A 27,819-nucleotide genomic window follows, 5' to 3' on the forward strand; every position below is an offset into this window, starting at 1 on the left:
TCAAGAAACATATCTCATGTAGTTGTTTTAAGATTTCTAACCCAAAACAACACAATGTATTCACAAAGTGAGCCTCTGTCTATAACAACAAAGGAGAAGGAAGCCATGCGCTAAGCCCCCAGGCTTGCCACACAGGACCAGAATTACTAGACCAAGGATGCTCACCCTGCCCACTACCCCTCGGCCTCGCACTGTCTCCAAGGTGCCAGAGAGACTGAATATCCTCCAGTGCCGCTCCCGGAGCTGTACCACATCACTGTCAAGGTTCTCCAAACGGATACAGTAGCGCCACTGAGGTGGGTGTGGGAGAGAGAGTTTAAAAAAAATAAAATTTGGGTAACCCTCCTCAGAATTCTGTGCAAAGCAAAAGTCAACAAAGCTGACACATGCACTGCACAGGTTCCGCTCTCGTCAGAAGGTGGGCTCCCCCACCTCCACCCTGACCCCCAGGCACACCCCACAAGCTCCCCTTCTCCCAGACAGTGACACTCACCCAGTACACGTGGGAATTCTGGGCTTCCTAGGGAGAAAACAAAAAGAATTTAAGTCCCACAGGGCAAGACCAAGTGTGTTCCAATCAACATCTCTCCAGTGCAGTTGATGTATTCCAGGAAGGTTGCAGACAGACCAAGCTGAGAGTATCTGTGGGATAAGGGTGATAGCTGAACCATGGCCTACACACCCACAGGGAGGCAACATCCCTGTATCCACTCCTGGCCTCCCCACTCCTCATCCCTTCAAGATCACCAACAGAGCTGGATGCCAACAGAAATCAGTTACAGGGCTCTTACCTTTTTCACTGCCCTCCTCACCAGCCCTGCCCCCTATCCTTGCTGCCCTGAGCCCCTGTCCTCCTCCTGTCTCCCATTACTGTCCCTTGCTATAATACTTTAAGTTGGCCTCCTCCACTACTATAAGGTCCTGGAAGACAGGGACGGTGTTTCATTTATATTTGTATCCAAGCATGCACTGACTATACGTACTTTTCTGACCTATAGCTTCTGTCTGTGGAGTTGGGCGGCCCCTACCACTGCACATGCTTACAGCCAGGCGATGTGTAAGTGTCTATAATGTGTAAAAAGTGTTATGCCTACACTGCTTTAAATAATTATGTGTATATTCTTCATAAACATGGCTCCCTTTGAGCAAGAGGGAAGAGACAGGATAAAGGATTCCTTCCTGGGACCTATGAGTTTTCCTGCCCGCTCTAGGTCTTGGTGTCAGCCACTGTCTAGAGGCTACTCAACCCCACCCAACACATGCCACCACTTGGAAGCAGAACCACAGGGACATGGTTTATATTTAGACTCCCTTCCCCCGGCAGTCACCTTAAGGACACCATACACCTTGGGGCCTACCCCTGCTAGAAGGGGTCCAGGCTGGCCACATACCCTCATGCCCATGTAGAAGGGGATGACAGTGACACGTATGTTCTCAGTTGTTTCCCGATGAACATCGGAGAGCTCCAGCCAGGGGTGATTCTTCTCTTGCCAGGCCCTTAGCGTCTCCCGAGCCACAAAAGGAGGTGCTGGGGCAAGATACAATTGGTTAGTCCAATTGTGTGTTGTGGATACAATTGTATCTAGTCCAATCACACAATAGTCCAGTGCGATTGCCCCTCCTAGAAAACCCTCCCTAGTGGTGGCCCAGGCAAACAAGGTGCTCATACATGAAGCAAAAGTTCAGGCTGGAAGAAGGCACAGGACTGCTACCAAGAATAAGCCCTGAGGAGCTAGTGTGATACAATGGGAAAACAATCGGACTGGCAGTTAAGAGCCCTGGTTTTCAGCCCTCACTCTGCTACTAGCAACCTTGAGTCCCTTGTCATCATCCCTGATCCTCAGTTTCCATATCTGTAAGGAAATAACTGCCATCTGTCATCTGTCAGGTATGACACCTATGAGGCATGACAGCTCTAACAGGAGGTTGAAAAGGGTTGTGGAAATAGAGCGTTGGAATTATTTCTTTTTTTTTTTTTTTTTTGGAGACGGAGTCTTGATCTGTTGCCGGGATGGAGTGCGGTGGCATGATCTCAGCTCACTACAACCTGTGCCTCCCGGGTTCAAGCAATTCTTCAGCCTCAGCCTCCCAAGTAGCTGAGACTACAGGTGCACGCCACCACACCCAGCTAATTTTTATATTTTTAGTAGAAACAGGGTTTCACCACATTGGCCACGATGGTCTTGATCTCTTGACCTAGTGATCTGCCCGTGTCAGCCTCCCAAAGTGCTGGAGTTATAGGCGTGAGCCACAAGCACCCGGGCCTTTTTTTTTTTTTTTCCTGAGATGGAGTCTCGCTCTGTTGCCCAGGCTGGAATGCAATGGTGCAATCTCGGCTCACTGCAACCTCCACCCTCCTGGGTTCAAGTGATTCTCCTGCCTCAGCCTCCCAGGTAGCTGGGATTACAGGCGCCCACCACCACGCCCAGCTAATTTTTGTATTTTTAGTAGAGACAGGGTTTCACCAGGTTGGCCAGGCCAGTCTTGAACTCCTGACCTCAGATGATCCACCTGCCTGGGCCTCCCAAAGTGCTGGGATTACAGGCGTGAGCCACCGTGCCCGGCCCTGGAATTATTTCTATGATATTCTTTGATGAAAAGGCCCTCCCATTCCACCTCCCCTTCTTGAGAGAGATTACCTTTTGTCTGGTCATACAGAAGAAATCTTTCAAAGAGTTCATGTTGGATGGGAACCTGATCAGTGGAGGTGTAGGGGAGGATGTCTTCATGGCTGACATAGTCCAAGCCTGGCACAGAGATGCAAAAGACAGTGGTGAAACTCACAGGAGAGGAGAGAGATGGGGTTGAGAAGAAACATTAACTGGCCTTGTTCCAGTATGGGATAACCCTGATATCATACCTCTCAGCATCATAATCCCTCCCAGTGGATGACAGGACATCAGAATCCTCTCCCTGAGACACACCAGACTCCTTCTTGACGGGCACCATTCAAATGCTAACTACTCACCTGGGATGGCATAGAGGGCCCGACTGTCATCATGGTTAGCCAAGAAGGTCACAGCTTCTGTCTGAGATCTCTGAGACTAAGGCAAGAAGTGAATCAGTGGTGAAACCATGTCTCTGCTAAAAAGTACAAAAATTAGGCTGGTGTGGTGGCAGATGCCTGTAATCCCAGCTACTCGGGTGGCTGAGGCAGGAGAATCACTTGAACCCGGGAGGCAGAGGTTGCAGTGAGCTGAGATCTCACCACTGCACTCCAGCCTGGCGACAGAGTGAGACTCCATATCAAAAAAAAAAAAAAAGACGTGAATCAGGGCTTTGTTGGCCACTGTGCAGTCCAAGGCCTTGGGGACCAAGACTGACCTGGGCTCTGTTTGACCCCCTTCCCTCCCTTTGTCCCCATTGGGATGCAGGACTTTCCATGGAGAGGACCCCCAAGCCCAGCCATCTTGCTTACTTACTATATGTGGGCAGTCACGAGCATCAATCAGCACCTGATAGTAAGTGTGAGTTTTGCCTTTCACCTCCTTGGAGCCATGGCCAGCAGGGTTCTCTGCTCTATGGGGTGGGAGAAGGAGGCCAAGATCACCCCAGGAGAAATGGAAGCTGTGGCTGACTCAGCTCCCTACTCCTCCTCACCTAAACAGGCTGGTCTCTGATCTAAAGGGGCTTTAGCACCAGCTGGACACCTGCTCTGCAGCACCTCAGCTCAGCTGCTCCTCAGTTGGGGCAAATAATAGAGCATGGAAGACCATGGTATGGAGCCATCATCTGACCGTGTGGATACCTCTTAAAAGAAGGGGGCCATGTTGAGAAAATCAAATTGCCACCTCAGTCCCCAGGGCCCAGAGTACTCTTGTCTTCTTATATCCCAGGGACTGTCTGTGATCACTTAATGGGGCTGAACCTTTTCTGTTTTAATGTATTCTAGGGATGATGTGAGATTGAGGGAAAGACTCCAGCTGAACATCAAGAAATCAAGAAGACTTGTCCCCCAAATGCCCTCTGGGATACTCATAATGAAAATTAGGAATGGCTTAGGAAAGCATTCTGAGGAGGCCTAAAGGGACTCTCTGACTTAGACTATCCCTGGCACTCAGCACTTTTGTCTCCATGGGTCTTAGTCCCAGAGAAGTACTCTGGGGATGTTTCCAAGGCCTAGGAGGACGCTGTCTTCACCCCTAGTACCCCAATTACATATGTCTGCCATCTCCTCCTGAGGATACTGTGAGGCACAACCACAGGGAAACTTACTTTTCTGGAGCTGCAGAAGCCACATCCCGGTCATACAGTCTGGCCTGCCAGGGAAACAGGACGACACCTCGGTAGCCAAAAATGCTATGAAGGAAAAGCTGGAAGGAAAGAGGGGCCTCAGTGAGTCTGCAGTCCAGCAAATCCATCCAGGTGGGCCCCAGACCACAAAGCAACACAGGTGGAGGCAACTCCAGCACAAGGTCTTGCTACCTCTTCCCTTGAAGTCTGTGATCAACCAGACCAATGCTGGAACACTCTTATTTCTTCTTTACCTGGCTGACTCTACTCATCCTTTAGGTAAAAGCTTAGGCCTCCAGGAAGCCTTCCCTGACCTCCCTTCCACTTAGCACAATGTACAGCTATTGGCCATTTGCAAATCGTTCTTTTCTAGACTAGAAACTCCACAATAGCAGGAATCATGTCTACTTTGCTTTCTGATTTAACCCTAATGCACAATGCCTAGTCCATTGTAGGCACACAGAAAAATAAAATGTTGAACAAACAAAAAGTCTTCCTTACCTACAATATCCTAGAAGGGCCTAAATCTATCCCAGTGGACCCAGAACAAAGCTGATATAGAAAAAGAACCACACATCCAGAGTTTACCACACTGAAGTCAATTTTATTACGGCAAAGCATCAAAGGTATACTTTTCTGAAAGCTCCCTCCACGGCTTCCCACCATCCACTATGTTAGAGAAATCTTCAGCAACTTGGCTAAACCTCACTATAGTCCACACCATCCCTGTCCACATTAACTTGGAAAGAGAACCCACTGACACATTAAGTGCATTCAAATCCAGGAGAACAGAAACCCTATCTATAAAAATTTGATTCTGGGCTGGGTGCGGTGGCTCACGCCAGTAATCCCAGGACTTTGGGAGGCCAAGGCAGGTGGATCACCTGAGGTCGGGAGCTCGAGACCAGCCTGACCAACATGGAGAAACCGCATCTCCACTAAAAGTACAAAATTAGCCAAGTGTGGTGGCGCATGCTTGTAATCCCAGCTACTAGGGAGGCTGAGGTAGGAGAACTGCTTAAACCCAGGAGGTGGAGCTTGCAGTGAGCCGAGACCATGCCATTGCACTCCAGCCTGGGCAACAAGACTGAAACTCCGTCTCACAAAAAATAAATAAATAAAATAAATAAATAAAATAAAAAATGAATACAAATTTGATTCTGGAATGGCACCAAACATCAAGGTGGAATGAATGGAACACCATACCATGCAGGCCTGTGACCTAATCTGACTTTTTTCAGAAGCAGAGCACTCTATGAAAATGAAAGATGACCCAGCCCAATACTCACCTGCCCGGTCTCATATTTTCCATTCTGTTTTGGCACCTCAAACACACCAACTGTCTCCAACACTTTGCCCTCTGGTCGGTTTCTGAGTAGGAAGGAAAAGAACAAGCAACAGAAAAGCTGAGAAGGTAATGGTAGTTATCCATAAGAAAAAGCTCCTAGGATACTGAGGGGCCAGGGCGATGACAGCAGAGAAGGGTTTGGGGTAGTGGGACCAGCTGGAGCAGGAAAGGCTTTCCTCCTCCTTGGTGAAAACCTCCACAGTCTCCCAGTGTTAGATGTGACCGCTCCCATACTACTGTCTTCTCTCTTCACTGGGCATTCTTCATATCATGCCCTCACACTCTGCTCAAATGTACCCCTGCCCTTGTTTCTTCCCTAACCCACCCTCCTGACCTCCCACAGCACTTTAACTGTCTTGCTCACTTTTTCAATTTTTTTAGAAGGGGAGTATCTTTTTTTCTTCTTTTCTTACATTTTCTATATCACAAGTCATCAAACAATATCCTGCTCCCTTTACATTTCAGTTGTGTCCATGTCTTATCTTTATTAAATACTGTAAATTCCCTGGGAGCAATGCCTGAGTCTGATTAGCTGGTACTGCCCCCTCAGAGCCTAGTGTACAAGAGGTGCTCAAAAAATATTTGTCCTGTATTATAATTCCATGTCCATCTCCCCCTCTAACCTGTAGCCCTTACATTGCCCTTGAAAAGCTTAAACATCTCTAGATTTCCTACGGCACATCGCTCTCTCAATACCGTTTTTGTTCATATTCTCACAGGGGTCTTAAATTGCAAATAGCTATCATCTCTCCCCAATGTTCAGTGTCTAATATCAGCCACTAAAATGTCAGTCACCACTCTGAACAGGGCTGCTCTTTCTAGGGGCCCTTCAAATAAAGGCTGTTTTTACTGTTTTGAAGATGTGAACTTTATGCTTCCTCCCACTGATCCACCAGCCCATTTGATCCGCCTGTCCCATCCGTGGAAACAGTTTCCACACCATCCCCATGGCCTCAAACCCCCTTCCCCAAGTCACAGATAGAAAATCGATCTCCCCAAAGTCACTTGGAAACCTGGGGCCTACGAGGGTCCACACCCAAGAGTCTCGTTTCCCACCTCTAGCATCTTTCTGAGGCAGACCTTCACCAAATCCAAAGGCTGAGGGTTCAAGCCAATGCCCTAGGGCTGAATTAAAAAGCTTCCCTCTGACATCGGTGCTGGGGACCCCAGCCGGGGAAGTAGGATTCACTTGGGGAGGGTAACCTGTTCCCCCCCAGGGCCAGCCCTGTACAACCAGGGCTCTGGGCCGCGCTGGCTTCCCTGCTCCTGGCACATGTCCCAGACAGCGCAGGTCGGCTCCCTGCTCGGGACCCTCTCCCGGGTCAAACTCCAGTCACCCTCAGCAGGCCCGGGCCCCTGGCCTCCGCACTGGCTAGGAACACGCTCTCTGGGCTCCAGGCCCAGTTCCTCGCGCCCCCTGGCTCCGTCCCTCACCGGGACGAGAGGTGCCTCCGCGTCGTCGTGGTCGACGCTGGCGAGAAGGCTCCAGCTCCGGCCGCCGCACAGAGCGGCCTTGGCCACCGGGCCCCAGTCAGCGACCGGGACCACCAGCGGCTGCCCACGGCCAGGGCCCGCCGGGCTGTACAGGCTGCCATGTCCCGCCCGAGCGCCCGCCCGGCTGCTGACACAGAGCCCGACCCGCGGCCGGGCGGCGTTCCGCCCCAGTCCCACACTGCCCCGCGCGGCGTCCCGGCCCTCTTGGCCCGCCTGGTCCCACCCCGGAGCTCAGAGCAACTTCCGGTGCGCTTAGCGTTACTTCCGGCGCGCGGCGGGCGGAAGTCCGGGTTGGGGTCACCTGACCGGAGAGCCGGCTAGATATGGCGTCCTCTTTGCTTGCGGGCGAGCGATTGGTGCGTGCTTTGGGCCCCGGCGGGGAGCTGGAGCCAGAGCGGCTACCCCGAAAGCTGCGGGCCGAGCTTGAGGCCGCGCTGGGGAAGAAGCACAAGGGCGGTGATAGCTCCAGTGGCCCCCAACGCTTGGTTTCTTTCCGTCTCATCCGGGATCTGCACCAGCATCTGAGAGAAAGGGGTGAGCCCCAGTCTCCAGTCCGGGGTCCCCTCCTTGTGTCCAGATCGATTCCCTCCTGAGGTCTTTTCCCATCATTCCCCTTCTTCTACGGAGCACTCATCTAGACAAGTCAAGAGTCACTCCATAAATCCCAGGGCCACCCACTTTCTTAACTCCCATGGGAATTTCTCGTGGATGACAAATTTGCTTGTGCAGTTTCTGCTCTTTTGAGAGCCCCCTCTTCACTTCCAGGCACACCTAGGCCCAATTCACCCTTGAGAAAGTCTAGGTTTTTACCAAATACAAATATCACAGGTTTTGTCTCTTCTTTTTCTCCACTTTAGGAATCAGCTTAGCATAGTGAGCTTGTAGGAATCCGGATTTCTTTCCACCTCAAAAGCAAGAGTGGTGAAATCTGATACTTTGTTTTGTTTGTTTGTTTTTTTAATATAGGATGGCAAAAGCTGTGTTGAAAGATCTGGCCTGAGAGTAGCATGTGAGTTCCAGTCCTAGCTCTGTCACTAATCCTTTGAAGGAGTCATTTCTCCTCGCTGGGCCTCAGTTCCCTTATGTGTAAAGGGAAGGAACAGGACAAACTAGCACATAAGGTATTTTGCCAGAAGTAACATAGACCAGCCAGAAGTGCAAAGGGTAGACTGCTCAATTATTAGAACTAGAAAGGACCTTAGAAAGAGATTGCCTAGTATTAGTGTCCTCTGAGCATTTAGCATCACTATGACCTAAACTTATTTAGGGAAGAGCTGTTGTGGCCACAGAACTGATCTAACCCAAAGGCACAAGTAAATGGCTTACTTGTTAGTTATAACACTGGCAGGATAATTGAGAGCTGACAGCTAAAGTCACCTGCGCAGCACTGGGAGATACCTACATGGAATTATCCAAAATTCTTTTCAATTGAAAATGATCCTGGAAATGGATTAATGTAGAGATGGCCCTGTTTTATTTTGGTAGAAAGAAGGGCTACACCCCTCTTGATCTTAACCCTTCAACCTCAGCTCGTGGATCATTGTGTTTGTGAAACCTTTTCTTCTCAGATTCCAAACTATACCTCCATGAGCTCCTAGAAGGCAGTGAAATCTATCTCCCAGAGGTTGTGAAGCCTCCACGGGTATGTAAGGGATATGTTTGTGAGAGTGGTTATTGACTGAGTTGGGCTTATCCATGATACACTGAACTTATAAATCAACTTTTAGGCTTGAAAAATTGTTTTTGAAATCTTTGGGATCTGGGGGAGCCAGATATTGTCCTCCCCATCAGCTGTTTGGAAAATTGAGATCAAAAAAAAAAAAAACAGTTTCAAAGCACTGGAGTTACGACTAGTATGTGGGTCTCCTGATACCTTTAGCAGTGCTTTACCCCTGGAACCAATGATTGTGATGTGCTTTCTAACAAGCTGGGAATATCATTCTTCTCATTTGATTTTTCTGCTTCAGAACCCAGAACTAGTTGCCCGGCTGGAGAAGATTAAGATACAGCTGGCCAATGAGGAATATAAACGGATCACCCGCAACGTCACTTGTCAGGTAAGGACATGCTCTTCAGTACGTGGTCTAGGTAGCCCCTCAGAGTAGGGCCCTGCAGTGGAAGAAGATACAGAGTTTAGAAAAAACATGGAAACTTGGTTTCTATACTGTTCAGGGACCATAGGAAGTCTGCATACAAACAACACAGTTCCCATCTCATTCACTGAGACTCTGGGCTGAGATGGTGACCAAGTTTTAAACGTCATAGAAGTGGGAGTTAGCCGGGCACGGCGCTCATGCCTGTAATCCTAGCACTTTGGGAGGCTGAGGTAGGTGGATCACTTGAGGTCGGGAGTTCGTGACCAGCCTGGCCAACATGGTGAAACCCCGTCTTTACAAAAAATACAAAACTTAGCCTGGCGTGGTGGCGGGCACCTGTAATCCCAGCTACTCGAGAGGCTGAGGCAGGAGAATCACTTGAACCCAGGAGGCGGAGGCAGAGGCTGCTGTGAGCCAACACTGCACCATTGCACTCCAGCCTGAGCAACAAGAGCAAGACTCCATCTCAAAATAAATAAATAAATAAATAAATAAGTGGGAATGAATCTTGGAGGCTTTTTTTCTTCTTCTTTTTTTTTTTTGAGATGGAGTCTCACTCTGTCACCCAGGCTGGAGGGCAGTGGCAGGATCTCTGCTCACTGCGGCCTCCGCCTTCCAGGTTTAAGTGATTCTTATGCCTCAGCCTCCCAAGTAGCTGGGATTACAGGCATGCACCACCACGCCAGGCTAATTTTTTGTATTTTTAGTAGAGACCACGTTGGCCAGGCTGGTCTTGAACTCCCAGCCTCAAGGTGATCCTCCTGCCTCGGCCTCCCAAAGTGCTGGGATTACAAGGTGAGCCACTGTGCCCAGCCATTCGAGCATTTCTTCTGACAGGGCTCCCTACTACTCTATGGCATGCTCCTACCCTGGAACAGGAGAGTAGATGGGTACTGGCAGCCTATGTCCTCTCTCCGAAATGCCTGCTCTGTAGTCCAGAAAAGAGTCAAAATGGTTCCAGACAAAAGAATCCATGGGGAGGGCAGAGTTAATATGTTGGGGAATAGAGAGGGCTGAGCCAGACTGTCAATGGATGCTCTCTGAGCTGCTTCTATTCTGAATCATCTTCTTTTTCTTTTTCCCAGGATACAAGACATGGTGGGACTCTCAGCGACCTGGGAAAGCAAGGTGAGGTACTAGGAGATCAGGCTTCTAAAACCTTTTCCTGAGATGGGTCATGACACTCAGGCTTGTTGTTTGACTGAAACCCAGTTGGTGGGGGAGCCATGAGATAAGAGCACCTCCTAGAGAATGTTGAACTAAAGGTGCCCTCTCTGGCTCCTCCCCAAAGTGAGATCATTGAAGGCTCTGGTCATCACCATCTTCAATTTCATTGTCACGGTGGTTGCTGCCTTCGTCTGCACTTACCTTGGAAGCCAATATATCTTCACAGAAATGGCCTCGGTGAGTAGGCACTGGGCAGGGCAGGGTGCCCCTGGTGGGGGTGTTAGTGGGTAAGGGAGGACGTATGTGAAAGTGCCTTGCACAGGTTAGGTATTGAACAGATATTTATGCCATTAATAAGGGGAGCATTAGAGCTTTCCAGCAGTCACGGGAGGTTAGGTAATAACCCCAGGAGAAGCCACATTCTCTTTTCTTCCCCTCCCCCAACTTAGAGGGTGGTTGGGGGGCTCTCCATCCTCATTAAAGTTGCTGGGGTACAGAGCTGGTTGTTGGCCTGCATCCCTTAAGCCTGGTTCTCCCCATCTCCAGCGGGTGCTAGCTGCATTGATCGTCGCCTCTGTGGTGGGTCTGGCCGAGCTGTATGTCATGGTGCGGGCAATGGAAGGCGAGCTGGGAGAACTGTAACTGGTGCTTCATCATCAAGTCTAGAGAAGACTTTGGGGGCTTCAGGCTCCAATTGGCAGTCACCGACTCAGTCAACCCATCAGACTTTTTGTATTCAGCTCCAGTTAGTCAGAAGACCAGCCCAGGCCAGCTGCTGTTTCTGTGGGGAGCCCTAATCTTCTGTGAATTTCCAAAGGGAGCATTGGAGGAGATTGAGATAACACATCTTTAAAACAGAAAGAACTGGTCTTGGTCTATCAGTACCTCTTCCTGAATCTGGTACCCATCTGCCTTCTCCAGTTCATTCTAAACACTGCTGGGACTAGGGTTTTTCCATCAGGAGCAAATGGAATCCAGGCCTTCCCAGAAGTAGACCATACTGCCTTGAACTTGTCCATATGTACAAACTGATCACCAGCTTTCTCCATACATTTTTAATGCAGACCTGTAATTGAGTTCAGAAGCCTCCAAGAAAACAGAAAGGATCCCCTTTCTCCAGTTTGTGCTGGAAGAGGAGCTGATCAGAGACATCAAATAAGAGAAAGATGGGTTGCTAGAGGATGGTAGAACTGGAAGCAAGGCAGCTACCTTTTTGCAAAAGGAAATGGTGTTAGGCCCCTTTTCCAGAAGATAAGACAGACTCATAGAGATTAAATGATCACTATGGTCCTTCTTCTGTTAAATGGAGCCAAAGACGCCTATGTTGTTCTGAAGTCTTGTAATGTTTAACTTCTGAGAACTTAGATTAGTGGTGTGATGATAGAGTCTGTATAACGCATTGAAAAGGGTATCAGGCTTAGTTATTTATCCAATAAATATTTATTGTATGCAGGGTATTCCTATTTTAACTCCTGTGACAACACAAAGCATAGCGATTTCCATAGTTCTAACTGTTCAGGGTCTGCTCCTCCTGGTACACTCTTTTTGGTTCACTGTATGTACTCCTGTTGTCTTTTTTTTTTTTTCCAAAGCACTTTTCTGTTTTCATAAATTATATACTCATTCACTCAGTGGACACTTCCTCTACAATGTTTGCCAGTTTCTGTTAGTTGGGAGAAGTGTCAGCTGTGAAAAGAAAAAGTAGGTGGCATTTTACAGTGTTTCCAGTAACCTGAGCTATATAAAATTTGTGTTAAAAAGCTACACTGGGCCAGGTGAGGTGGCTCACACCTGTAATCGTAGCATTTTGGGAGGCTGAGGCAGGCGGATCACTTGAGGTTGGGAGTTTAAGACCAGCATGGCCAATATAGCGAAACCCCATCTTTACTAAAAATACAAAAAAATTAGCCAGGCGTGGTGGTACATGCCTGTAATCCCAGCACTTTGGGAGACCAAGGTGGGAGGATGCTTGAGTTCAGGAGTTTGAGACCAGCCTGGGCAACATGGCAAAAGCCCATCTCTACAAAAAAACGCAGAAATTAGCTGACATGGTAGCGCACGCCTGTAGTCCCAGCTACTCAGGAGGCTAAGGTGGGAGGATCACTTGAGCCTGGGAGGCAGAGGTTGCAGTAAGCTGAGTAAGCCAAGATCATGCTATTGCACTCTAGCCTGGATGACAGAGTGAGACCTTGTCTCAATGAAAAAGCAGGGGGCACTGGGAGGGGAGAACCAAATGCCCTATCCTCCAGTTCTCAGCATATAGAAGGGAGCTCTCTCATCTGCTAGCCACTCCTGCCTCACTGTGCCATGCTTTCTGTAATGCACTCTGGGTCCAGGGACTGCTTGGCAGGAGGTGGGAAGAACAAGAAGTTTAGGGCCTTCCCAGTTTCTTAGGGCCTGTCTGGAGAGGGAACTAGCGTTTACTGAGTTTTTACGATGTGTTACACACCATGTAAAGCCCTTTACCTACATTATTTCTTATACCCCAAACAGAGAGCAAATAAGTATCCCCATTTTTTAGTCACATAGAGTTCCAGAGTTGCCACAGTTACATCGCAAAGTCAGGATTTGAATCCAGTGCAGACCGCAAACACCATGGTTTTCTCTCCAAAGCAGAGCAGCTCCAGAGGTGGAGGTGACTGGAATGTCCTAGATTCAGTGGGACCAGGAGCTGGGGGTGCTAGCAGAGGCTCTCATCTCCCCAGGGTCTTGTCAGTCAGAGTCCTAAACCCTTCAATTAACTATCCCTCTAATCCCAGCTGAAGCCTGGGTAATACCTCCCACCAAGAGGTATCTGTGTGGAACCTGGCCCTATTTAGGGATTAGGTGATGGAGATAAATTTCCATGGCAAACGGCCCTCGTCCCCGTTCGTTTGCAGAGCACAACAATCCAGATTAAGGTACAGAGTTTGGGTTTTATTTGGAGATTAGTTGGTATTACAGGTGATGGTGATACCAAAACCCAATGCTGCTATACCTGCCTCCATCCCAGATCTGTCAGGTTGTCTCCACAGCCCCACATCAGAGGGCATCCAATCTGATCTTTGTGAAAATTAAATCAACATAAGCCCCAGCTTCCTATCTTTGCTTCATTACTTTAATGCCACTCCCTCTTCACATCCGTAGTTCTGATTAATTTGTCCAGGTGGTCGATGGTCAAGAGAGGGGGCCCTGACCCATAAAGAAGTTGGCTCTCCAGCAGTCTAGATGAGGAGCAGCACTCTCCTCTCCTACCTCACTTAGCAGTTAGCAAGGTAATGGCCTGGAGAGACCTCAGGAGACAGGAGCCTGCCCCTTCAGAAGGAGGAGGCCATCAGCTGGTGAGAACTGGGGACCAGGCCTGGCAAGAGTGGAGGAAAACATGACCCTCATCTCATCCTTCTGAAGGTACCACCTGCCACAACAATGAGCATATGCCCCAAAGGGGTCAGGGTGTGGGGTGGCAGGAGCCAGGCCCCAGTCTGCTTAGGACCTGCATCTAGGCTGGCCTGGAGGCCAGTGGAAGGGAGGGATGCCTGAGCTAAACTCCTTTCCCGTAGGGAATCCCTTTGCATAAAAAGTGGGGCCAGGGAATCCACTTCTGATGTGTTCAATCCCAGGAGGGGCAGGGTGGGCCACAGGAGTCAGAGGAGGGGCCTTGCAAGTTCTGGACAAAGACTAGGAGTGGTCCACATTGACGACAATGGCCAAGGCATAGATGAGGTCAGACAGGCTGCCTAGTGAAGTCTGGGGAGTAGCTCGCTCTAAAGAAGGGTGGACCTCTGAAGCCCCAGCTGATCCCCATGGGGCTACAGCTTTAGCCCCTTCCCAGCCCTGCCGTGGACTCAAGCCAGGAGCTGGACAGGAGCTATGTCGACACACTGAGGTGCGCTGAGGTGTGCCGCTGGAGGGTGGAGGTTGGCCTGGCATTTGGGGATCCCAGGGCTGCTGGAGGGTGTCTGGAAGAGAACAGGAGCTCTGGGGGCACTCAGACCCAGGGCTTAGAATTCCTGACTTCCTGTTCTTGATTATTTTGGCCCAGCGCTTCTGGAACCACACCTGCTAGGAAAGAAGAAGGGGTCTGTTCTGGCCCCAGCATCCCCTCCACCCAGGGACAGGGGAAACAACCTGAAGGCAGGCTACCCAGCGAAGGGGCTGTGGGCCAAGCCTAGATGTTGGCTGTGTGAGAAGGGGTCACAGCTCACCTGTACCTTGGCCTCAGGAAGGCAAGTGACCCAGGCCAGGTGCTCATGGGTGCTGATGTTGGGGTAGGGCCATGCTGCAAACGCCCTCTCCAGCTCCAGTAGCTGCCCTTTGCTGAAGGTGGTCCGCTTTCTCCGGTGGGAACCCAACCCGCTGCCACCGTCTGCAGGCCATGGTGGGGGTCAAGCTGGGACTCCCTGCAAGAGCCTCCACCCAGCCTCAAAGCCCTCAATCAACCCCGAAGTCCCTACTCCCACCCCTCTCCAACCGTCCTCATCCTACCATGGCCTGCGTTCTCACCCTGCCCACACTTCCCCCATCAGATCACCTGCTGAGGATGCATCCACAGGGCTGGGCATGGAGCTGGCAAAGGGTAAGGTGCCAGAGGGCCGTGCCAGAGGGCCATGCCAGGGCTGTGCCCACACCAGACCCCCCCATTTGGGTTTTATCATGCTCAGGGTGGCTGGCCCCGCCTTCAGGAGTGGAGAGGTTTAGAGTCCAGCTCAAGCAAGGCAGAGAAGTCTCGGTGGGGAAGAAGGGAGGCTGGAGGCCGGGTTGGGCTTATGAGGGTATGGGTGGGGCAAATTGTATACCCCCTGCCCCTCCAAGGCCTCGCAAAGGAAGCTGGACCCAGCATCCCTTCTCAAACCTCAAACTGGCAGTCTGTGCCTGAAATCCTATACTTCATGAAAATCCTCCCAGGGGTCCTTCCAGGCAGCCAAAGAAAACCATCTCTCCAGTGCTCCCAGGCACTGGCTGCCCCTTCTGGAGCCCTTAGTGCTCTGAACCTGGCTACCTTCAGGGGAGAGGGAGTGGAGTCCTCTCCCACAACTGGGGACTGGGCTGGTGAAGTGGGACAGGATGAGAAGGATGGTAGGGTGTCAACGGGATGAATGGGAGCCAGCCGCTGTCAGCAGGACTGGGGAACAGATGTCACCACCAGATTGCCCTCAGGTCTGCTTTAGAGCTTTGCCTCATCTAACCCTTTCTCTCTCTGGCCCCTCAAGAGCCAGATGGACTTCCTGGGGTTCGGAACCTGGAACCAGAGGAGGTTCCACAGGTGCAGTTGAGGGGTTCTAAGAAAGATGATAAAGATGTTTATGTGTACAGTATTCTCTTCCTTGGATATATTCTGAGCCACTTTTTCTTAAATTTTGAAAATTTTTTTCTTTTTTCTTTTTTTTTCAAGATGGAGTCTTGCTTTGTCACCCAGGCTGGAGTGCAGTGGCGTGATCTTGGCTCACTGCAACCTCCACCTCCCGAGTTCAAGCAACTCCACCTCCTGCCTCTTCCTCCGGAGTAGCTGGGGTTACAGGCGCCTGCCACCACACCCGGCTAATTTTTTGTATTTTTAGTAGAGACGGGGTTTCACCATGTTGGCCAGGCTGGTCTCGAACTCCTAACCTCATGATCCACGGGCCTTGGTTTCCCAAAGTGCTGGGACCACAGGCATGAACCACCGTGCCTGGCCTAAATTTTCTTTTTCTCACTCTGTTGCCCAGGCTGGAGTACAGTGGTGTGATTTCTGCTCACTGCAGCCTCAACCTCCCAAGCTCAAGCAATCCTCCCACCTCAGCCTCCTAAATAGCTGGGACTACAGGCACACACCACCCATAAGTTGCCCAGCTAACTTATTTATTTTTGTAGAGATGGTGTCTTGCTATATTGCCTAGGCTGGTCTCAAACTTCGGGATTCCAGCAATCCTCCCACCTTGGCTTCCCAAAGTGCTGGAATTACAGGCATGAGCCACCATGCCCAGACAAAAATTCCCCCCCTTTTTTATTTTGTTCTGTTTTTAGAGATAGAGTCTCACTCTATTCCCCAGGTTGGAGTGCAGTGGTACAATAATAGCTCACTGCAGCTTCAAACTCCTGGGCTCCTGGGCCACTTTTCCACAAGAAGTGTGTGCTTTTGAATTTCCTTTCAGTTTCTGCCCTTCACTATCTCTCCTGGTCTTGCTGCTCCCCATCCTAGACCCTAGACAGAGACCTCAAGAAAGGCTCACCCTAGGGGTGGGTTTGGGGAAGCACAGTGACTGGTTCCCCAAGTGCTCAGGAGTCAGAGCTACTAGGATTTCAGATCAGGATGGACAAAAAAGCTGAGCCAGAACCCCACCAACTCTTGCCCCTTCTCTCTCCTCCAAGACCCTAGTCAACTCCAAGGGGCAAAGCAAGCCTCACCCACGGAGGCTGGCCTGGTAACTTTGTCATCATCAGAGGAGTTCAAGTGTCTGCTTAGCTGCTGGTGGGTTGCTGGGGGCTGCTTAGCTCAAGAGGAAGGGTAGCTCTCAGGAGGCCTTCCCCAGCCCCAAACCGGTTCACAGAGAGGTCCTGAGCACAGAGAGGTCCTGAGCCCAACATGGGTTGGACACGGCGAGGCCCTTCTCTGTCCCTTCTCTGTCCCCCTCACCAACCCATTCTGACAGTCCAGCTTCCTCTCCTTTACCCAGACAGGGATGTGTCTACCCCAGTCAGAACAATAATTTTAAACTCGGGGCTAAGGGACCTTTATTGGGCTGGGGGAAGGAGATGGGAGGAGGGAGCTACAGAGGGCCCGGCCATGTGGGCTCTGACTCCTACAGATGGCCAGGAGCTGGGCAGCCCAGCCAGTACTGAGCGATGGAGCGTGGGTAGGGAGGGTCCACAGTGTCCACTCGCCGTGTGCGAAGATTGACTCGGTAGTACTTGTCTGGAAGAGAGGAAAGCAGAGGATGCGTGAGGCCCAGCCTGGCCCTGCCCACTCTTCCCTTGAGAAGTCTAGGGTCTCTCCCAGAAGGGAAAGTGAACATCCATGATGCAGCTAAGGACTTCTGGCCTGGCTTTCTGTGGTCACTACTTGCAGGCTGCGTTCAGCCCTTGTGCACCAGGGACAGCAAGGAAAACCCAAGCTAGACCAGCTTCAGGGGTGGCAGCGGCTCCTACCTCCAGAGAAGAAGAAGACACTCTGGATGGGTTCACAGGTGGCAGGCACAAGCCAGTCCATCCTGTAGTCATCATAGTTGTTGGCTCCCAAGTTGCTCTCCTCACTGGAGAACAAGGACAGCCACGTGGCGCGGGATGGCCGGCGGGAGTTCTGGTTGCGGCCACGGCTGTGGCCTCGTTGTGAACGGTAGCCTTTGCGGTTGCGATGCCTAAACCTTTGTTTCTTGGCCAAGGAGGGGCGGGGTGCCATGCCTGAGATGTAGATGCGGCCAGCCATGGCTGCGTCCACTTGCCCTGGCACACCGTGCCAGTCCCGGCTAATGAACTGGGGCTGTCTGGTACCAGCTGTGGCAGGGAAGGGGTGAATGAGAGGTCTTGGGGGTCCGAATCTTGCCCCTTCCAGCGGGGCCATTAGAGTTCATCTGCTGCACCTTGCCCAAAGACACACAGCAGCGAATGGCAGAGCCAGGCCTTTGACTCTCAGTCCAATTCCCTTCCCCCTGTGCTTTCCCTCCACCATATCACTGGTGTCTCGACCCCACCCCCCCAGGCCCCCTAAACTCCTCAGCCACAGCCCCTCCCTCTGCTGGCTGTGCTCTCAGCTGTGCTAGGCAAAGTCCAAGGTGTGGGGTCCAGGTAGAGCTGAGCTTTCCCCAAAAGGTCAACAGAAGCAAAGTCTGGCCTGAGCAAACAGACTTTGATCGATAGCTCCACAACCACAGCCCCCTCCAGCCGGCCTGGCTCTACCAATACCAAGGGGTTTCAGCCCTTTTGAGGGAGAAGCAAGACTTGCCCTCTCTCCATACCAGAGGTTCTGCCCCAGAAGAGAAGCTCGAAGATGTCCTCCCAGCTGTCCCGCTGCATCATGGCAAAGTGTTCAAACACAGCCGACAGGGAGCTGCCTTCACACTCCTCCTGACTGGGCTGGTGCTGGAACTGGTACTCCCAGTACTGTTTCCCTGAGGAGCAGGGTGGTGGGCATTAGGAGGGCTGGGCCAGGGCAAGACTGGAGATCCCAGAGGCTGTTGAAGTTAGGATCTCCCAGCATGAGGTGGGGGTCAGGGGTGGGCACATGCTGAGGCCTGTCCCCAGTGAAATGTGAAAGGAATCCAAGACTGCTCCACTGCCTGCTCAGTCTCCCACCACCCCCTGAGTACCCTTGAAGAAGTAGACCCGCTCCCGGCCACTGTAGCTATGGGCAGGGAGGGCCAAGGCTGCATCCACGTTGTCCGGGATGCCATCGAAGCCGTCAGAGATATTTCGGGGGTAATCAGGGTCCAGGACACCATCCTCAAAGCGCCAGTACTGACTACCCTAAGAGGTGGGGAAAGTGAAAAGGGGTATGGAGGCCGCTGGCTGGGCACAGAGGCAGAGTCCCTTGCCCTAAGGCAGCCGTTCCCAGGTCCAGGTTCACTGCCCAGGACCTGGAGTCTTGGGGCTGCCCTGTGCTCACAGAGCTCCCACCAGGTCCTGCAGGGCCCTGGGTCCAGCTTCCCTGTCCACCCTGTCCCTGGGAGCAATAGCTCTCAAACCCTCCCTAGATGCTTTCTACCCTGGCCCACAGCCCCTGGCACCTTGAAGAGGTAGGTCTTCCCCTGACAGTTGATGCGGGTGAAGGCGGCATCGATGGGGCCCTCGATGCCCCAGACATCTCGGATGAGCTTGGGGTACCCAGGCCTCACTGCCTTTTCGTCCAGTTCATAGCAGTACTGCCCTAGAGTGGAGGAGATGGTGTGAGAGCAGGGACGCTCCTGGGGCAGACCCGCATCCCCAGTACCTGCCCTGGATTCACCTCGGAAGGCAAAGAGGGAACCGTTCTTGAGGTCGGTGAAGGCGTCGAAGGGCTTCCCACTGCACAGCTCCTCCTCTGCTGGGGGCTGAGGTCTCCCTGGATGAAGGGTCTCAGGCCTTGAGTCTATCCCCTCAGGCTTAGAGGCGCCCACCTCAGGCGCAGGGGCCTCTTCCTCAGGTTTCAGAACAGGTGTCTGCTCAGGATTCCCTTTGGACTGGGCCTGGAGGTCAGAGGTCAGGGAGGGGCCCCCCACCTGTTCATGGACAGTGGCATTGTTTTTCTCCTCGCCATCGTCATAGACCGTGTACTCATCCTCCGGCATAGTGAACACATCCCCGCGAGTCACTGCAGAGAGTGGATGGTAGTGAGTCTCCAGCAGCAGGGGGCACCCCAGCCCACCCACCTGGGCTCTGAACACACCTTGGGGCTTGCACTCAGCCGTATAGTCTGTGCAGCAGCTCTGGTAGTAAGAGCAGAGCTCGTCACACTGGCACTTCTTGTCCACGTTGAAGCCCTCAGTGCAGCGGCCCTTGCATGACTCTATGAGGAAGGAGTGTCAGTCGGTGCCACCAAGCCCAGACCACCCTCGCCCTCCCTACATTGACCCAGATGGCCACCAACACTCCCCTGTACCTTGGTCAGCCAGAGCAACCCATGCCAGCAGGGCCAGTATGAGAAGGGGTCTCAGGGGTGCCATGGCAGGGCTTCTAGCTCAGTGCCTGGCAAGCTGGGCTCTGGTCTCCCTGAAGTCTCCGCTCTGATGCCTGAGGAAGGGAGGGAGAGGCAGAGACAGGGAAGGAGGGCACTGGAGAAGAGGAACTGCCTTTTCTGCTGCTCTGTTTGCTCAACCTCCAGCCCATCCCCTCTGCCCCCTCCAGCGGCTGCTGCAGCAAAGGTCACATTCCTGGAACACTGGGCCTGGGCGAGCTGGGAGATAAGACCTTTGCCAAGCTCAGAATCATTAGGTCATCGGAAGGGGAATTAGCACCGTGGATCTGGAGGGCAGAAAGAAGGCTCATTGGGCAACAGCTTTATCTCTCTGAGTCTTAGTTCATTTTCAGTAAAATAGGATTAACAAAGCCTTGCTTCATGGGGTGTTGGGAGATTACATGAACTGGACCAGACAAAATGCCCAGTAGCTGGAGCAGCCACAAATTCCTTCTCCAAACATAGCTATTGATCCATGATTGTTTGATCAGACACATCCCTGGCTGGGTGCTCATTCGCCATTATTTATTTAGGGCAGGAAAAAGGGAGTGGGAGGAGAGATTGTAAGCACTCTGGGGAATTTTATTTTTTAGCATAAAAGAACAAAGTTTCATTTCTGGGTTCTTCTCTTGGGTGCATCAATCTCCCCAGGCTGGAAATTTGGGTAAATATCAACCCACTGGACTGGATTTAATTTCTGAGTCTTTTCTGAGCAGGCCACTCCCTGTCCCCAGGCTCAGTCTCCCCATCTGTAAAGAGTGGGCTTGTTCAACACACTTTTAGACTCTCGAGAGAAATATGATCCCTCTACCTGGAAAATGCCCACTGGCATGAAACACCTGATTTTGTGCCCAATTTCAGGTGTCCACAGAACTTCTGAAATCCTCCCATCACCTGAAAAAAGTGATCCTGAGATTTTAGCTGACTTTTTCTGTTCTGTAATCAGAGGGGACTGTGATTTGGGCCAATTTCTTCCTCATGGGCTTCAGTGGAGTCAGCTGTGGAATGGAACATCAATTCCCACCCCATAGGCATGTTGTGAGGTTTCGCTAAGAAACAGCCATAAAAGGGCCTTAAGAGTTATGATGATTGTTTTAACCATTTAGTAGGGAGGGGGCATCCAGCGGTGTTGCTCCCACGTACCGATGTCACGTGGGGCGGGGAGGCGGGGCGGAGAACGGAGAGCGTCCTCTCATTCTCCACCCCCTTCCTCCAAGTCCAGCGCAGGGGGAGGTGGCTGCGACTGACTGAGGGGCTAGGGAAGGCTGGCCAGGGGCGTGGGCGTGGCTGGGGACGGCTTGGGGGTGGGGCTGCGCAGGAGGCTGGAGGAGCCCCGCGGGACCCAGAGGCGGGGCGTCGGCCCGGGGACCACTGCTCCTCCGGGGCGTGGCTGCAGGAGGCTGGAGGAGCCCCGCGGGACCCAGAGGCGGGGCGTCGGCCGGGGACCGCTGCTCCTCCGGGGCGTGGCTGCTGCCGAGCATCTCCCAGCTCAGCCGAGCCCGTGCCCAGGCCACGCTTTGTTCCAGCCGCCGCCTCCTCTACCCTACGGCGTCCGGAGCCATCCCTCGCCTGCTCGCTCTCTCCTTTCGCCCACTCCCTGCATCTGGGCCTGCATCACCTTTGCCAACCGCTCCCCCGATCCTGCCGACACTCCTCCCCCAAACTTCTGACCGGCACCCTTGCCTGGTACCCTTCTCTCCATTCCTCCCCCTCCATCTTCTTTCCCCGACCCCTCTCGGGTCCCTCTTTTCCCAAAACCCGGGTCTCTCCGCGTGGCCCCGCCTCCAGGCCGGGGATGTCCCCCGCGGCCCCGCGCCCATGGTCCTGACGCTGCTTCTCTCCGCCTACAAGCTGTGTCGCTTCTTCGCCATGTCGGGCCCACGGCCGGGCGCCGAGCGGCTGGCGGTGCCTGGGCCAGATGGGGGCGGTGGCACGGGCCCATGGTGGGCTGCGGGTGGCCGCGGGCCCCGCGAAGTGTCGCCGGGGGCAGGCACCGAGGTGCAGGACGCCCTGGAGCGCGCGCTGCCGGAGCTGCAGCAGGCCTTGTCCGCGCTGAAGCAGGCGGGCGGCGCGCGGGCCGTGGGCGCCGGCCTGGCCGAGGTCTTCCAACTGGTGGAGGAGGCCTGGCTGCTGCCGGCCGTGGGCCGCGAGGTAGCCCAGGGTCTGTGCGACGCCATCCGCCTCGATGGCGGCCTCGACCTGCTGTTGCGGCTGCTGCAGGCGCCGGAGTTGGAGACGCGTGTGCAGGCCGCGCGCCTGCTGGAGCAGATCCTGGTGGCTGAGAACCGGTGAGCGCGCCAGGCCGGGGTTGGGAGAGCGCCGCGTGGTGTGGACAGTTAAGCGCCTGCGTTCCCGTGTGCCTTGCGCCGTGCCTTTGCCTCCCTCACCTCTCTGACTGCCTGCACTACATCTCTGTTAGGGGTCAGCCTGTCTGTTTCACAGATAAGGAAACTGAGCCTTGGGAAAGTTTAGTGACTTGCTCAGTGGATCACAGTGAACTAAGATTTGCTCCCAGGGCTAGTGGGGTGAGGAATGGAGTTACAGGACAGGAGTCCGTCCCTGGCTCTATGGATGGAGATGGCATCCTATTGCCAATTCTCCCTCTCCCCCGCCCCCCAAGCCCACAGCTCTCCTTCCCACCGGCTTGGGTTCCCGTCTATGACACCTTCTCTCGCCATCATCCCATCCCTCTCCCAATGAGAGAAGAAGGGAAACACAACGCTCAGAAAAGAGGGAGGGAGACCTCTCCTTTCCCTCCTCCCCAGGCTGTAAGGCGTGCTGGCCTGAGGCTGCTTACTCCCTTCTTGCCGCCCCAATCCAACTTCTGCTCCATCCTTCATTCTGGTTCTTGCAACAGGCCAGACATGATCTCATTCTGCAGCTGCTGATGGGAAACAGTTTTCTGCTGGGAGGCATGGGTGGGGGAAGAGGACACCGGGGTGCAGAGCCCGGCGGGGACCAGGCAGAGTGTGTGTTCTCTCCCTTCACCCCACTTAGCACCAAGATGCCGCAAGAGGGTCAAACAGAGGCCTGGTTGCCACTCTTGCATGTCTCTTGGGATCTCTCCTGGAGTATGAAGACCTCCAAGGACTCACTTTCCCTCCCTTCTGATGCCAGAGCAGACCAAGCTGTCACACTCCAGTCTCATGCTGAAGTCTCCAGCTTCTCAAGCTTAGAAGAGTTTTTGGAAGAGTCACTTTCAGCTCATGCAGCTCTCACAAGTGTGAAGGGAGTGGGTTGGGGGTGTTTTCCTTGCCATTTTCGAAAAGAAAAAAATTACCTGGTGATTGGTGGAAAGATACAACTGTCAAAAATGCATGAATGAAGCAATTTAGGTTGGGAGACCAAGATAGGGTTCTGCTTATTTGGCAAGCCATTAACCTCCCATCTGACATCCGTTGCCATGATGGGGATAGGCCATGAATTTGGAGGGGGTAGCAAATAAAATATGTGCTCACTGGGTGTGGTGGGGTCAAGGCTGGTAGGTGTGCCCTGCAGGCTTGCTATGTGGAGTCAGGAGCTATAACTACAATCCCTGGAGAGTGAGTACAGCCAGCAGCCCAAGGAGAGGAGGGTTGCAAGATGCAAACAGTACTGCTATATCTCAAGGTTAAAAATGGCAATTCTCACCTGGTTCAGAGTTACCGAGAGAAGAGTCACTAACCAGTGTCCCTGGTCTCAAGAAACGCACGCTGGTCTCTTCAGGACCAAGGACAGAGCACAACGTGCGTGGTTGCTATCACAATACTTCCAAAGAAAGGCAGGATCCCCGCCAGGCGCCGTGGCTCACGCCTGTAATCCCAGCACTTTGGGAGGCCCAGGCGGGTGGATCACCTGAGGTCAGGGGTTCGAGACCAGCCTGGCCAACATGGTGAAACCCTGTCTCTACTAAAAAAAAAAAAAAATACAAAAATTAGCTGGGCATGGTGGCGGGCATCTGTAATCCCAGCTACTGGGGAGACTGAGGTGGAAGAATCGCACAGAACCCGGGAGGTGGAGGTTGCAGGGAGCCGAGATTGTGCCATTGCACTCCACCCCACGCTGGATGACAGAGCAAGACTCGTCTCAAAAAAAAAAAAAAAAAAAAAAGGCACTGTCTATAATCCTAGCACTTTGGGAGGCCAAGGCAGGCAGATCACCTGAGGTCAAGTGAAACACAAAAATTAGCCAGGCATGGTGGTGGTGCGTGGTGTGTGCCTGTAACCCCAGCTACTCTGGAGGCTGAGGCAGGAGAATTGCTGGAACTCGGCAGGCAGAGGCTGCAGTGAGCTGAGAGCGCGCCACTGCACTCCAGCCTTGGCAACAGAGTGAGACTCCATCTCAAAAGAAAAAAGAAGGGGAGGGTCCCTGCACCCCTTGTAGGCTGCATGAGAATGGGGCTGGAAAGAAGAGAAGGGGAGTGACACACTGCGAATTTATGAAATGTTTTTCTCCTTCACCAACCAAGCCCCCACTGCCTCATCTCAAAGAAGGCTCTTCTGGGCAAGCATGGTGGTTCATGCCTGTAATTCCAGCACTTTGGGAAGCTGAGGTGGGTGGATCACTTGAGGCCAGGAGTTCAAGACCAGCCTGGGCAACATGGCAAAAACCCATCTCTACAAAAAATATACAGATTAGCCGGGCGTGATGGCATGCACAGTCCCAGCTACTCAGGAGGCTGAGGTGGGAGGATGGCTTGAGCCCAGGAGGCGGAGGTCACAATGAGCTGAGATCATGCCACTGCTTTCCAGCCTCAGTGACAGAGCCAGACCTTGTCAAAAAAAAAAAAAAAAAAAAAAAAACAATTCCATCAGTGTGCCTACCCCTTTTTGCCACTTCCCTCTTGCTTTCTTCTTCTCAGGATGCTATTGCACCCATTGTCAAGGAGCCTAGGTCACAGTTTTCCTGACTTCCAACTACCAGAAGTCCAACAGAATATGGCTCTTCAAATCTGGCCCCACAACACCCAGTGAGGTCCCCATATGACTGCTAGCCCTCTATATTCACAGTCCACCCCCTTCAGGGGATCTTAATGAAGCTATCCTCAGAGTAGTTAAATGGCTTTCCCAGGAATATTCAATGAATAAATGGAGGAGACAGGTTTTTGAAATCACAGAAAGGCGGCCAGGAGCAGTGTCTCATGCCTGTAATCCCAGCACTTTGGGAGGCCCAGGCGGGAGATTGCCTGAGGTCAGGAGTTCGAGACCACTCTGGCCAACATGGTGAAACCCCGTCTCTACTAAAAATACAAAAAATTAGCCGGGCTTGATGACGTGTGCCTGTAATCCCAGCTACTCTGGAGGCTGAGGCAGGGGAATTGTTTGAACCAGGGAGGTGGAGGTTGCAGTGAGCCGAGATCGTGCCGCTGCACTCCAGCCTGGGCAAGAGTGAGACTCCATCTAAAAAAAAAAAAAAAAAAAATCACGAAAGCCATTGCACATAAATTCAAAAAAGTGGAAAAGCACACAAAAGGTATACAGTTAAAAGTTATTCTCAGCCAGGCATGGTGGCTCATGCCTGTAATCTCAGAACTTTAGGAGGCTGAGACAGAAGGATTACTTGAGCCCAGGAGTTTGATTGAGACCAGCCTGGGCAGCATAGTGAGAGCCCTGTCTCAATTTTTTAAAATTAAATTAAAAATTTTTTAAAAGTTCTTCTCAACCAGACCCCCTCTCTGGAGATAAACCACTATAACAAGTTTCTTGTATATCCTTCCAGAGAGAGTCTCTGCATATACAGGCATTTGCATGTATATTATATAGACATGTTTGCAATATATATACAATCTTCCCCTCCTTTGGAGCTGGGATTTGAATCCAGACCTGTGTAATTCTAAAATATCTGCCCATTTCACCAGACCCACAGCCTCTCAGACCACAGAAGAACTGGGAGCTGGGTGAGTAGTTATCACAAGAGTGCAGCACAGTTCCACTCTGTAAAGGTGCCAGGTGCATAGGGAAAAGTGAGGGCTGGGGCATCAGGAGACTCAAAATAAAGTCCTAGGTCTGAATTGATATGTTCCTGAGCAAGTCCTTCCCTTCGCTGGGCCTCAGGTAAGTCCTCTGAAAATGAGAGTGTTGGCTGGCCAGGGGCGGTGGCTCACGCCTGTAATCTCAGCACTTTGGGAGGCCAAGGCAGGCGAATCGTTTGAGGTCAGGAGTTCAAGACCGCCTGGCCAACATGGTAAAACTCTGTCTCTACTAAAAATACAAAAAAAAAAAAAAAAAAAAAGAGCCAGGTGTGGTTGTACATGTCTGTAATCCCAGCTACTTGGGAGGCTGAGACATGAGAATCAGTTGAACCCAGGAGGTGGAGGTTGCAGCGAGCTGAGATTGCGCCACTGCACTCCAGCCTGGGTGACAGAGTGAGATCCTGTCAAGAAAAAAAAGAAAAGAAAAAGTAAGGGTGTTGGATTAGATAATTTCCTTCTTATCTTTTGTTTTTGTTTTTGTTTTTGGTAGAGACAGGGTCTTTCTATGTTGCCCAGGCTGGTCTCAAACTCCTGGACTCAAGCAATCCTACTGCCTTGGCCTCCCAAAGTACTGGAATTACAGACATGAGCCACTGCATTCAGCCAGATTAAATAATTTTCTTATTTTATTTTTCATTTTTTGAGATGGAGTCTCCCTCTATCACCCAGGCTGGAGTGCAGTGGCACGATCTTGGGCTCACTGCAACCTCTGCCTCCCAGGCTCAAGTGATTCTCATGCCTCAGCCTCCCAAGTAGCTGGGATTACAGGCACCTGCTACCACGCCCAGTTAGTTTTTGCATTTTTAATAGAGATGGAGTTTCACCATGTTGGCCAGGCTGGTCTCGAACTCCTGACCTCAAGTGATCTGCCCACCTCAGCCTCCCAAAGTGTTGGGATTACAGGCGTGAGCTACCGCACCTGGCCACATTAGATATTTCTTAAACATATCCTGGCTCTTACATTCTAGGCATTTATGCAGTCAGATGTCTAGAAACGCAAAATGAAGGTGAAGGATCTTGAACTCTGGAGACAGGCAGATCTGGGTTCAAATCTCAGCTGTGCCTCTCAGAAACTGTGTGACTCTGGGCATGTCATGTACCCTCTCTGAGTTTTGGTTTTCTCATTGGTAAAAGGAATAACTGGGCCAGGTGAGGTGGTTCATGCCTGTATTCCCAGCGCTTTGGGAGGCCGAAGTGGGAGGATTGTTTGAGCCCAGGAGTTTGAGACCAGCCTGGGCAATATAATGGGATCCTGTCTCTACAAAGTAAAAGAAAACAAAACAAAAAAAATCAGCCAGACATGGTGGTACATGCCTGTAGTCCCAGCTACTCAGGTGGCTGAGTTGGGAGGATGAATTTAACCTAGGTGGCCAAGGCTGCAGTGAGCTGTGAGCTTATGGCATGTTCCGGACTCAGGTAGGTTCTGCAGTGGACACAAAATCACATGCACTATGGTCACTGTGGTGCCCTTTGGGCAAGGACTCCATTGCTGGCTAGGCCTCTACCTCTTTGGCAGTAATGTCACCTGTGGAGGACATCACTTTTTTTTTTTAGACGGAGTCTCACTGTGTCACCCAGGCTGGAGAGCAGTGGTATAACCTCGGCTCACTGCAACCTCTGCCTCCTGGGTTCAAGTGTTTCTCCTATCTCAGCCTCCTGAGTAGCTGGGATTACAAGCGCACACCACTACACCTGGCTAATTTTTGTAATTTTAGTAGAGATGGGGTTTCACCATGTTGGCCAGGCTGGTCTTGAACTCCTGACCTCAAGTGATCCTCCTGCCTCAGCCTCCCAAAGTGCTGGGATTACAGGCATGAGCCACTGCGCCCGGCCATCTGTGGAAGACATCATTTGTGGAGGTCAGTAAGGCAGGAAGCCTGAACCTCTACCAGGATGTGGCAACTCTCCCACCTGCTCAGCAGGCCTC

General features: G+C 52.0%; 5 protein-coding genes and 1 non-coding gene across 7 annotated transcripts in view, besides 5 other annotated features; 3 read left to right on the forward strand and 3 right to left on the reverse strand.

Moving 5' to 3' along the window:
- POLDIP2 (DNA polymerase delta interacting protein 2) overlaps positions 1-7,255 on the reverse strand; it is a 10,895-nt gene extending 3,640 nt beyond the window's left edge. Inside the window, exons 1-9 of one of the 2 annotated variants that reach the window (NM_001290145.2) lie at positions 7,016-7,255; positions 5,523-5,604; positions 4,216-4,259; positions 3,423-3,519; positions 2,969-3,044; positions 2,640-2,747; positions 1,392-1,528; positions 494-520; positions 166-291 (exon numbers count right to left, since the gene is read on the reverse strand). In NM_001290145.2, coding sequence (NP_001277074.1) covers positions 166-291; positions 494-520; positions 1,392-1,528; positions 2,640-2,747; positions 2,969-3,044; positions 3,423-3,519; positions 4,216-4,259; positions 5,523-5,604; positions 7,016-7,176 — 858 coding nt within the window. In that variant the 5' untranslated portion in view covers positions 7,177-7,255. Of the gene's footprint in view, positions 1-165; positions 292-493; positions 521-1,391; positions 1,529-2,639; positions 2,748-2,968; positions 3,045-3,422; positions 3,520-4,215; positions 4,314-5,522; positions 5,605-7,015 lie in introns of both variants that reach the window. The other variant, NM_015584.5, reaches the window with a different exon arrangement.
- Positions 6,655-7,420: an enhancer, noted in NCBI's record as "H3K27ac hESC enhancer chr17:26683953-26684715 (GRCh37/hg19 assembly coordinates)". NCBI's record gives its function as "activates a minimal SCP1, AML or CMV promoter by ChIP-STARR-seq in naive H9 embryonic stem cells {active_cell/tissue: H9 hESC(naive)}" and the evidence as "EXISTENCE:reporter gene assay evidence [ECO:0000049][PMID:30033119]".
- Positions 6,953-7,342: a silencer, noted in NCBI's record as "silent region_8336". NCBI's record gives its function as "represses an Ori minimal core promoter by ATAC-STARR-seq in GM12878 lymphoblastoid cells {active_cell/tissue: GM12878}" and the evidence as "EXISTENCE:reporter gene assay evidence [ECO:0000049][PMID:35858748]".
- On the forward strand, positions 7,375-13,411 carry VMA12 (vacuolar ATPase assembly factor VMA12). The gene is made up of 6 exons (NM_152464.3): positions 7,375-7,609; positions 8,644-8,717; positions 9,043-9,132; positions 10,257-10,299; positions 10,463-10,575; positions 10,885-13,411. Exons 1-6 carry the CDS (start codon positions 7,399-7,401, stop codon positions 10,978-10,980), a joined length of 627 nt encoding a protein of 208 aa, NP_689677.1. The 5' UTR covers positions 7,375-7,398; the 3' UTR covers positions 10,981-13,411.
- Positions 7,533-7,632: an enhancer, noted in NCBI's record as "active region_11924". NCBI's record gives its function as "activates an Ori minimal core promoter by ATAC-STARR-seq in GM12878 lymphoblastoid cells {active_cell/tissue: GM12878}" and the evidence as "EXISTENCE:reporter gene assay evidence [ECO:0000049][PMID:35858748]".
- Positions 10,382-10,462, forward strand: MIR4723 (microRNA 4723). The gene has a single exon (NR_039875.2). It is a non-coding gene; the product is annotated as a microRNA 4723 (primary transcript).
- On the reverse strand, positions 13,234-14,927 carry SEBOX (SEBOX homeobox). The gene is made up of 3 exons (NM_001080837.4): positions 14,849-14,927; positions 14,523-14,683; positions 13,234-14,376 (listed from the first exon to the last, which is right to left on the reverse strand). The coding sequence occupies exons 1-3, from the start codon at positions 14,877-14,879 to the stop codon at positions 13,996-13,998; spliced, it is 573 nt and encodes a 190-aa protein (NP_001074306.3). The 5' UTR covers positions 14,880-14,927; the 3' UTR covers positions 13,234-13,995.
- VTN (vitronectin) lies at positions 17,012-20,035 on the reverse strand. The gene is made up of 8 exons (NM_000638.4): positions 19,868-20,035; positions 19,655-19,774; positions 19,235-19,579; positions 19,017-19,156; positions 18,600-18,756; positions 18,249-18,401; positions 17,443-17,787; positions 17,012-17,209 (listed from the first exon to the last, which is right to left on the reverse strand). Exons 1-8 carry the CDS (start codon positions 19,929-19,931, stop codon positions 17,097-17,099), a joined length of 1,437 nt encoding a protein of 478 aa, NP_000629.3. The 5' UTR covers positions 19,932-20,035; the 3' UTR covers positions 17,012-17,096.
- Positions 21,155-21,484: a silencer, noted in NCBI's record as "silent region_8337". NCBI's record gives its function as "represses an Ori minimal core promoter by ATAC-STARR-seq in GM12878 lymphoblastoid cells {active_cell/tissue: GM12878}" and the evidence as "EXISTENCE:reporter gene assay evidence [ECO:0000049][PMID:35858748]".
- SARM1 (sterile alpha and TIR motif containing 1) overlaps positions 21,422-27,819 on the forward strand; it is a 32,356-nt gene continuing 25,958 nt past the window's right edge. Inside the window, exon 1 of the mRNA NM_015077.4 lies at positions 21,422-22,230. Coding sequence (NP_055892.2) covers positions 21,761-22,230 — 470 coding nt within the window. The 5' untranslated portion in view covers positions 21,422-21,760. The remainder of the gene's footprint in view (positions 22,231-27,819) is intronic.
- Positions 21,805-21,974: a silencer, noted in NCBI's record as "silent region_8338". NCBI's record gives its function as "represses an Ori minimal core promoter by ATAC-STARR-seq in GM12878 lymphoblastoid cells {active_cell/tissue: GM12878}" and the evidence as "EXISTENCE:reporter gene assay evidence [ECO:0000049][PMID:35858748]".

This window comes from Homo sapiens, chromosome 17, assembly GCF_000001405.40.
Source record: "Homo sapiens chromosome 17, GRCh38.p14 Primary Assembly".
Lineage (NCBI taxonomy): Eukaryota > Metazoa > Chordata > Mammalia > Primates > Hominidae > Homo > Homo sapiens.